Here is a 10,784-nt window from a genome sequence, read left to right on the forward strand (position 1 = left end):
AATTTGGTCTGAGTGGAATCATACATTATGCATTTTTGTGTCTGGTATCTTTCAGTCAACATTGTTTTTGAGATACTTATCTCTGTATGGCTGTAATTCATAGTATTCCATTGTTTATAACAAAATTTACCTAATGTTGATGTTCACTTGCGTTGTTTCTAATTCAGGGCTATTACAAATAAAGCTTCTATAATGTGCACATCTGTTTTACATGTGCGTGTGTGCTTATTTCTGTTGGAAGAATATAAACCTAGGAGTGAAAAGGCTGGGTCATGGAGTATATGTGTTTTTGCCAAACAAATTTTCATATGCTTGTTTGACTTATAAGGTGCTGCTGCTGGCTTTAATGGGGACATATAACACATGGTATATAAATCCTATTAACCTTCCAAAATGCAAAAAAAGAATTTCAAATTCTGAAATACATTTAGACCCAAAGGTTTTGGATGAGGGGTTATGGAGCTATATATATAAATACACATGAACATGTACATAGCAATTTTATTTCTTAGAGGCACATGTGAAATTCCCATTTCTTTTTTTAAATTCACTCCCCATTAATGCTTCTTAAAAGTAATCTATGTATTCTTAGTTCTACCTGTTTTTCTGTTTGGGTTTCTTTGTTGTTATCTTTGTCTATGTTGGCTTATAAATAAAAACGCCTAGGGGAAAGAGGTGCTAAGATTCTCAGATAGTGAATGGCAATGACTAAGACAGGTCCTTAAAGGCTTCAGGGCTCCAGTGCTCAAATATGCATAGGGTCTCACACAAAACTTCCCATTCAGATGGTAAGGAACAGGTTCTTGAATCACTCTTGTAACAAACACCCAGGTGATTCTGATATGCATGGTTCATGGTTACACTTTGAGAAATACCACTTTGAAATTTAACAAATGGTCAGGCGTGGTGACTCACGCCTGTAATCCCAGCATTTTGGGAGGCCGAAGCGGGTGGATCACCTGAGGTCAGGAGTTTGAGATCAGCCTGACCAACATGGCGAAACCCTGTCTCTACTAAAAATACAAAAATAAGCTGGGCGTGGTGGTGGGCGCCTGTAATCCCAGCTACTTGGGAGGCTGAGGCAGGAGAATCGCTTGAACCCGGGAGGCAGAGGTTGCAGTGATCTGAGATCATGCCATTGCACTCCAGCCTGGGCAACAAGAGCAAAACTCTGTCTCAAAAAAACAAACAAACAAAAAATAACAAATATGACCATTGTGCCTTGCACAAGTCTAACATCATTAGTATGGGGTGTGCTTTTCCTAAAGGTAATTGTAGGTTACTGAAGCACATTATTTCAAACCTTGGACACTTTAAATAGAACACTGTTATAATAAATTTGACCAAATATCAACATTACATTTCATCAAAATGAGACTGTCAGGCCTCTGAGCCCAAGCTAAGCCATCATATCCCCTGTGACCTGCACGTATACATCCAGATGGCCTGAAGTAACTGAAGAATGACAAAAGAAGTGAAAATGGCCTGTTCCTGCCTTAACTGATGACATTACCTTGTAAAATTCCTTCTCCTGGCTCATCCTGGCTCAAAAGCTCCCCTGCTGAACATCTTGTGACCCCCATCCCTGCCTGCCAGAGAACAACCCCCCTTTGACTGTAATTTTCCTTTACCTACCCAAATCTTATAAAATGGCCCCACCCCTATCTCCCTTCGCTGACTCTCTTTTCGGACTCAGCCTGCCTGCACCCAGGTGAAATAAACAGCCTTGCTGCTCACACATAGCCTGTTTGGTGGTCTCTTCACATGGACACGAGTGAAAGAGACCCTACTGTTACACAGTAGGAGGACACGGTACTCTCTGTGTACAGAAAACTTACCCAGGTTAGAAGAGGAGTGAGTACAGGACATTTTGAAAAAGCCCTTTCTTATAGTACTTGTGATGCCTGCGGATATTTCATACCAACCCACAGAAAGGGTGTTTTTGATGACAGAAATGAGTAATGTTGGGCCGCTGACTAGGGATGATTTTGTTGTGAGAAAATAAAGGTATTTTGTGAACTATAATTTGGACACTTCCCCTTGCTTCAGATAGAACATTTTAGTGTGAGAAAAACAGTGTTCCCAAAGCGTGACATTTCTTGCTTTTGTTTTAAATTGTATGCAAACTTTGGATTGTACTTCATAAGAGACCCACGTGTTTATAAAATGTTTTGTCATATCCTTAATCATAATATCTTTAACACTCAAATATTTACTTATTTGTCTTTGAATACCTTTCTGATCTCTGCCACAGCCCTCGGGAGGAATTTTTTACCTCCTTTTGAGAAACAAGGGTGTTGTAATAATTGTTGAATTAGGAATTCTTCATTCCTTATATTTTCATTTCTTTATTATTGTCAGGCTTCTGAGCCCAAGCTAAGCCATCATATCCCCTGTGACCTGCACGTACACATCCAGATGGCCAGTTCCTGCCTCAACTGATTGCCTTAACTGATGACATTCCACCGCAAAAGAAATGAAAATGGCCTGTTCCTGCCTTAACTGATGACATTATCTTGTGAAATTCCTTCTCCTGGCTCATCCTGGCTCAAAAGCTCCCCTACTGAGCACCTTGTGACCCCCACTCCTGCCCGCCAGAGAACAAGCCCCCTTTGACTGTAATTTTCCTTTACCTACCCAAATCATAAAATGGCCCCACCCCTATCTCCCTTCACTGACTCTCTTTTCGGACTCAGCCCGCCTGCACCCAGGTGATTAAAAGCTTTATTGCGCACACAAAGCCTGTTTGGTGGTCTCTTCACACAGACGTGCATGAAATTTGGTGCTGTGACTCGGATTGGGGACCTCCCTTGGGAGATCAATCCCCTGTCCTCCTGCTCTTTGCTCCATGAAAAAGATCCACCTACGACCTCGGGTCCTCAGACCCACCAGCCCAAGGAACATCTCACCAATTTTAAATTGGATAAGCAGCCTCCTCTTACTCTCTTCTCCAACCTCTCTCACTATCCCTCAACCACTTTCTCCTTTCAATCTTGGTGCCACCCTTCAATCTCTCCCTTCTCTTAATTTCAATTCCTTTCATTTTCTGGCAGAGACAAAGGAGACACATTTTATCCGTGGACCCAAAACTCCGGCGCCGGTCACGGACTCAGGAAGGCAGCCTTCCCTTGGTGTTTAATCATTGCAGGGACGCCTCTCTGATTATTCACCCACGTTTCAGAGGTGTCTGACCACGCAGGGACGCCTGCCTTGGTCCTTCACCCTTAGCGGCAAGTCCCACTTTTCTGGGGGAGGGACAAGAACCCTGACCCCTTGTCTCCCTGTCTCTACCCCTTCTCTCTATCCCTTATTTCCACGCCCCGACCCCTTATCTCTGCGCCCCAATCCCTTATTTCCATGCCCCGACCTCTTATTTCTGCACATCGATCCCTTATTTCCGTGCCCCAACCTCTTATCTCTGTGCCCTAACCCCTTATTTTCCAAGCCCCAACCTCTTATCTCTGCGTCCCAACCCCTTATTTCCATGCCCCGACCCCTTCTCTGCTTTTCTGGGGGACAAGAACCCCCCCGACCCCTTCTCTCCGTGTCTCTACCCCTTCACTGCTTTTCTGGGGGGCAAGAACCCCCCACCCCTTTTCTCCATGTCTCTACTCTCTCTTTTCTCTGGGCTTGCCTCCTTCACTATGGGCAAGCTCCCGCCCTCCATTCCCTCTTCTTCTCCCTTAGCCTGTGTTCTTAAAAACCTAAAACCTCTTCAATTCACACCTGACCTAAAACCTAAATGGCTTATTTTCTTCTGCAATGCCCTTGACCCCAATACAAACTCAACAGTGGTTCCAAATAGCCAGAAAATGGCACTTTCAATTTTTCCATCCTACAAGATCTAAATAATTCTTGTCGTAAAATGGGCAAATGGTCCGAGGTGCCTGACGTCCAGGCATTCTTTTACACATCGGTCCCTCCCTGGTCTCTGTTCCCAATGCAACTCGTCCCAAATCTTCCTTCTTTCCCTCCTGCCTGTCCCCTCAGTCCCAACCCCAAGCATCGCTGAGTCTTTCTAATCTTCCTTTTCTACAGACCCATCTGACCTCTCCCCTCCTTGCCAGGCCGAGCTAGGTCCCAGTTCTTCCTCAGCCTCTGCTCCTCCACCCTATAATCCTTTTTATCACCTCCCCTCCTCACACCCGGTCCAGCTTACAGTTTCCTTCTGTGACTAGCCCTCCCCCACCTGCCCAGCAATTTCCTCTTAAAAAGGTGGCTGGAGCTAAAGGTATAGACAAGTTTAATGCTCCTTTTTCTTTATCCCAAATCAGATAGCGTTTAGGCTCTTTATAAAAACCCAGCCCAGTTCATGGCTCATTTGGCAGCAACCCCGAGACGCTTTACAGCCCTAGACCCTAAAAGGTCAAAAGGCCGTCTTATTCTCAATATGCATTTTATCACCCAATCCACTCCTGACATTAGGAAAAAACTTCAAAAATTAGAATCTGACCCTCAAACCCCACAACAGGAATTAATCAACCTCGCCTTCAAGGTGTACAATAATAGAGAGGAAGCAGCCAGACGGCAATACATTTCTGAGTTACAATTACTTGCCTCTGCTTTGAGACAAAACCCAGCCACACCTCCAGCATACAAGAACTTCAAAATGCCTAAGCCGCACACACCTAAGCTCAGCAGTCAAGCATTCCTACAAGACCTCCTCCCCCAGGAGCTTGCTATAAGTGCCGGAAATCTGGCCACTAGGCCAAGGAATGCCCACAGCCCAGGATTCCTCCTAAGCCACATCCCATCTGTGCAAGACTCCACTGAAAATCGGACTGTTCAACTCACCTGGCAGCACTCCCAGAGCCCCTGGAACTCTGGCCCAAGGCTCTCTGACTGACTCCTTCCCAGATCTTCTTGGCTTAGCAGCTGAAGACTGACACTGCCCGATCGCCTCGGAAGCCTACAGGACCATCACAGACACTCTGGGTAACTCTCACAGTGGAAGGTAAGTCCGTCCCCTTCTTAATCAATATGGAGGCTACCCACTCCACATTACCTTCTTTTCAAGGGCCTGTTTCCCTTACCTCCGTAACTGTTGTAGGTATTGACGGCCAGGCTTCTAAACCTCTTAAAACTCCCCAACTCTGGTGCCAACTTAGACAATACTCTTTTAAGCCCTCCTTTTTAGTTATCCCCACCTCCCCAGTTCCCTTATTAGGCCGAGACACTTTAACTAAATTACCTGCTTCTCTGACTATTCCTGGACTACAGCCACATCTCACTGCCGCCCTTCTTCCCAATCCAAAGCCTCCTTTGCGTCCTCCTCTTGTATCCCCCCACCTTAACCCACAAGTATAGGATACCTCTACTCCCTCCTTGGCGACCGATCATGCACCCCTTACCATCTCACTAAAACCTAATCACCCTTATCCCGCTCAATGCCAATATCCCATCCCACAACATGCTTTAAAAGGATTAAAGCCTGTTATCACTCGCCTGTTACAGCATGGCCTTTTAAAGCCTATAAACTCTCCTTACAATTCCCCCATTTTACCTGTCCTAGAACCAGACAAGCCTTACAAGTTAGTTCAGGATCTGCGCCTTATCAACCAAATTGTTTTGCCTATCCACCCCGTGGTGCCAAACCCATATACTCTCCTATCCTCAATACCTCCCTCAACAACCCATTATTCTGTTCTGGATCTCAAACATGCTTTCTTTACTATTCCTTTGCACCCTTCATCCCAGCCTCTCTTCACTTTCACTTGGACTGACGCTGACACCCATCAGGCTCAGCAATTTACCTGGGCTGTACTGCCACAAGCCTTCACTGACAGCCCCCATTACTTCAGTCAAGCCCAAATTTCTTCCTCATCTGTTACCTGTCTCGGTGTAATTCTCATAAAAACACATGTGCACTCCCTGCTGATCGTGTCTGACTGATCTCTCAAACCCCAACACCTTCTACATCCTAGGCATGGTTGGATACTTTCGACTTTAGATACCTGGTTTTGCCATCCTAACAAAACCATTATATAAACTCACAAAAAGAAACCTAGCTGACCCCATAGTTCCTACATCCTTTCCCCACTCCTTTTTCTGTTCCTTGAAGACAGCTTTAGAGACTGCCATCACCCTAGCCCTCCCTGACTCATCCCAACCCTTTTCATTACCCACAGCCAAAGTGCAGGGCTGTGCAGTTGGAATTCTTACACAAGAACCGGGACCGTGCCCTGTAGCCTTTTTATCCAAACAATTTGACCTTACTGTTTTGGCTAGCCCTCAAGTCTGCGTGCAGCGGCCGATGCCACCCTAATACTTTTAGAGGCCCTTAAAATCATAAACTATGCTCAACTCACTCTCTACAGTTCTCATAACATACAAAATCTATTTTCTTCCTCACACCTGACACATATACTTTCTGCTCCTTGGCTCCTTCAGCTGTACTCACTCTTTGTTGAGTCCCACAATTAACACTGTTCCTGGCCCAGACTTCAATCTGGTCTCCCACATTATTCCTGATACCACAGCTGACCCCCATGACTGTCTCTCTCTGATCCACCTGACATTCACCCCATTTCCCCATATTTCCTTCTTTCCTGTTCCTCACCCGGATCACACTTGGTTTATTGATGGCAGTTCCACCAGGCCTAATCGCCACACACCAGCAAAGGCAGGCTATGCTATAGTACAAGCCACTAGCCTGCCTCTTAGAACCTCTCATTTCCTTTCCATCGTAGAAATCTGTCCTCAAGGAAATAACTTCTCAGTGTTCCATCTGCTATTCTATGACTCCTCAGGGATTATTCAGGCCCCCTCCCTTCCCTACACATCAAGCTCGGGGATTTGCCCCTGCCCAGGACTGGCAAATTGGCTTTACTCAACATGCCCCAAGTCAGAAAACTAAAATACCTCTTAGTCTGGGTAGACACTTTCACTGGATGGGTAGAGGTCTTTCCCACAGGGTCTGAGAAGGTCACCGCAGTCATTTCTTCCCTTCTGTCAGACATAATTCCTCGGTTTGGCCTTCCCACCTCTATACAGTCCAATAGCAGACTGGCCTTTATTAGTCAAATCAGCCAAGCAGTTTTTCAGACTCTTAGTATCCAGTGAAACCTTTATATCCCTTACAGTCCTCAGTCTTCAGGAAAAGTAGAACGGACTAAAGGTCTTTTAAAAACACACCTCACCAAGCTCAGCCACCAACTTAAAAAGGACTGGACAATACTTTTACCACTTTCCCCTCTCAGAATTCAGGCCTGTCCTTGGAATGCTATAGGGTACAGCCCATTTAAGCTCCTGTATAGATGCTCCTTTTTATTAGGCCCCAGTCTCATTCCAGACACCAGACCAACTTAGACTGTGCCCCAAAAAACTTGTCATCCCTACTATCTTCTCTCTAGTCATACTCCTATTCACCGTTCTCAACTACTCATACATGCCCTGCTCTTGATTACACTGCCGGTTTACACTGTTTCTCCAAGCCATCACAGCTGATATCTCCTGGTACTATCCCCAAACCGCCACTCTTAACTCTTAAAGTAAATAAATAATCTTTGCTGGCAAGGCTATGCTGAACCTCCTTAGGCACTCTCTAATTAGATGTCCTAGGTCCTCCCAATTCTTAGACCTTTAATACCTGTTTTTCTCCTTCTTTTATTCCCTTTAGTTTTTCAATTCATACAAAACCATATCCAGGCCATCACCAATAATTCTACATGACAAATGTTTCTTCTAACAACCCCATAATATCACCCCTTACCACAAAATCTTCCTTCAGCTTAATCTTTCCCACTCTAGGTTCCCACGCTGCCCCTAATCCCGCTTGAAGCAGCCCTGAGAAACATCGCCAATTATCTCTCCATACCACCCCCCAAAATTTTCGCAGTCCCAACACTTTACCACTATTTCATTTTATTTTTCTTATTAACATAAGAAGACAGGAATGTCAGGCCTCTGAGCCCAAGCTAAGCTGTCATATCCCCTGTGACCTGCACGTACACATCCAGATGGCCGGTTCCTGCCTTAACTGATGACATTCCACCACAAAAGAAATGAAAATGGCCTGTTCCTGCCTTAACTGATGACATTATCTTGTGAAATTCCTTCTCCTGGCTCATCCTGGCTCAAAAGCTCCCCTACTGAGCACCTTGTGACCCCCACTCCTGCCCACCAGAGAACCCCACTTTGACTGTATTTTACTTTACCTATGCAAATCTTATAAAACGGCCCCACCCCTATCTCCCTTCACCGACTCTCTTTTCAGACTCAGCCCGCCTGCACCCAGGTGATTAAAAGCTTTATTGCTCATACAAAGCCTGTTTGGTGGTCTCTTCACACAGACTCACATGAAAATTATACTTAGCACTATCTGACTTATTCTATTTATTGATGTGCTTATTATCTGTCTTCTCCCCTACTCCCCCAACCCTGCTCCTCTGACTCATAAATTCTGGTAAGGCAGGCTCACTCTGTCTTATTCACTGCCATATCCTCAGCACCTAGAGAAGTGCCTGGCACACAGAGGTTCTCAAACATATGGTGAATGATGATTGACAGCTATGAGGACACTAGGCTGCACTGGGTATGGTATATACTGTTTCTCACTGATTGAGCCCAGATTCAGCCTAGGAAGCCTTTTCAACACAGCGACCAGCGTCACTGGATGGGTAATGGTGCACAACTGAAACGTATTCCATATCCCTGAATTGCATGCCCTCAAAGGTCTCTAATGCTAATATTCTTTGATTCTACGTATCAGAAGTTAAAATAGCCAAAGCATTTAAAAGAGAGGTTTAAGCAAAAGATTCAGGAGAGAATACTAAACTCCTTATTAGGAATTTTAAAAGTAGCTACTTTGTAGCAACCAAACTTTCCTTTAAAATGCCATGAAGTCAGTTGTTACAAAGAAAACCATTTTCCCATTCAAATATTATAATTAGGGAGATAATATCACTGATCAAAGGTTTAGTCGTATAAAAACTGCTGGAAAGAACTATGTATTGGGCTGGACCAGGTGGCTCATGCCTATAATCCCAGCACTTCGGGAGGCCAAAGCAGGCAGATCACTTGAGCCCAGGGGTACAAGACCAGCCTGGGCCACATGGCGAAACCCTATCTCTACTAAAAATACAAAAAATTAGCTTGGCATGGTGGCGCTTCTAATCCCAGCCACCTGGGAGGCTGAGGTGGGAGGTGCACCCAAGTCCAGGAGTTTGAGGCTGCAGTAAGCCGTGATCATGCCACTGCACTCCAGCCCGGGTGATGGAGTGAGACACTGTCTCAAAAAATAAAATAATTACATATTAATTCAACATTTAATTAATAAAGTTTATACAGGCTCTTGGGTGGTGTTATGCTCTGAACTGTGTCCCACCAAAATTCATGTGCTGAAGCCCTAACCCTCAGTACTTCAGAATGTGACTGTATTTGGAGATAGGGCCTTTAAAGAGGCAGTTTAAGTTAAAATGAGGTAATTAGGGTGGGCCTTCATCCATTCTGACTGGTGTCCTTATAAGAAGAGAAAATCTGGACACACATGTGACACTAGGGATGCATGAACAGAGAAAAGGCCACAGGAAGATTCAGCGAGCAGGTGGCCATAGGCAAGCCAAAATCACTGCATCTTGTTATGGCAGCCCTAGCAAACTAATCCAGATGGCCTAAATCTCACAGCTGTGTTCAAAGTACTGTGATAGAGTCAATAAATATTCACTACAGTGGGCCCCACACACTCCTTCCACATCTATCATCCTTGAATTGGAATTCTGGCAACATCAAGGACATCTTTAGAGAGTGCCCAAACTTTTCCACTCCCTGGCATTTTAAAACAGGGTATTGGGGAAATACTTTTGATGTGGAGAACAAAGGAATTTTTTTTACATGAAAAATTTAAAACATACCAGAAATAGAAAATAGGGCAATGAACTCCCACACACCTATCACCATTCAACGAGTACCACGATTTCACCTTATTTGCTTCCTTGTCTCCATGCCCCCTATTTTCCTTAGCTGTAGTATGTTTTTTTATTCATCACCATTTTATTTATTTATTTTTAGACGGAGTCTCGCTCTGTTGCCAGGCTGGAGTGCAGTGGAGCAGTCTCGGCTCACTGCAACCTCCAACTCCTGGGTTCAAGCAATTCTCCTGCCTCAGCCTCCCAAGTAGCTGGGACTACAGGTGCACGCCACCACACCCAACTAATTTCTGTATTTCTAGTAGAGACAGGTTTTCACTATGTTGGCCAGGCTGGTCTCGAACTCCTGACTTCAGGTGATCCACCCGCCTCAGCCACCCAAAGTGCTGGGATTATAAGCATGAGCCACCATGCTTGGCCCATCAACATTTTATTTTCTTCAATGCACTATGGGATGACTTAATTTATGTATATTGGTATACATACAAAGGTAAAGAAACTGAACTAAACTGAGAAAACATATTTACACTGTCAGAATTCCAAACTATAATACTGACTCTATGCCCTATAATATTTCAAGTTACCAATCTAAAAAACAATTTTGTCCCTGGGAAATTGCAGAAGTTGAAACACAAATTTTTTAAGTTGTTTCCCTACATTGACATATTTCAAATTCATATTATACTTTTTCATTGAGATATAATTCACACACCATAAAATTTACCCTTTTAAAGTGTGCAATTCAGTGGTTTTTAGTACATTCATAGTTATTCAAGAACCACCATCTAATTTCAGAACATTTTCACTGCACTGAAAAGAAACCCAGCACCTATTAGTTGCTCCCCATTGCTCCCTCCCCCATCCCTTTGGAAACCACTCATCTACTTTCTGTCTCTGAAGATTTGTCTATTCTGGACA

The sequence above is a fragment of the Homo sapiens genome, chromosome 13 (assembly GCF_000001405.40).
Source record: "Homo sapiens chromosome 13, GRCh38.p14 Primary Assembly".
NCBI classification, from domain to species: Eukaryota; Metazoa; Chordata; class Mammalia; order Primates; family Hominidae; genus Homo; species Homo sapiens.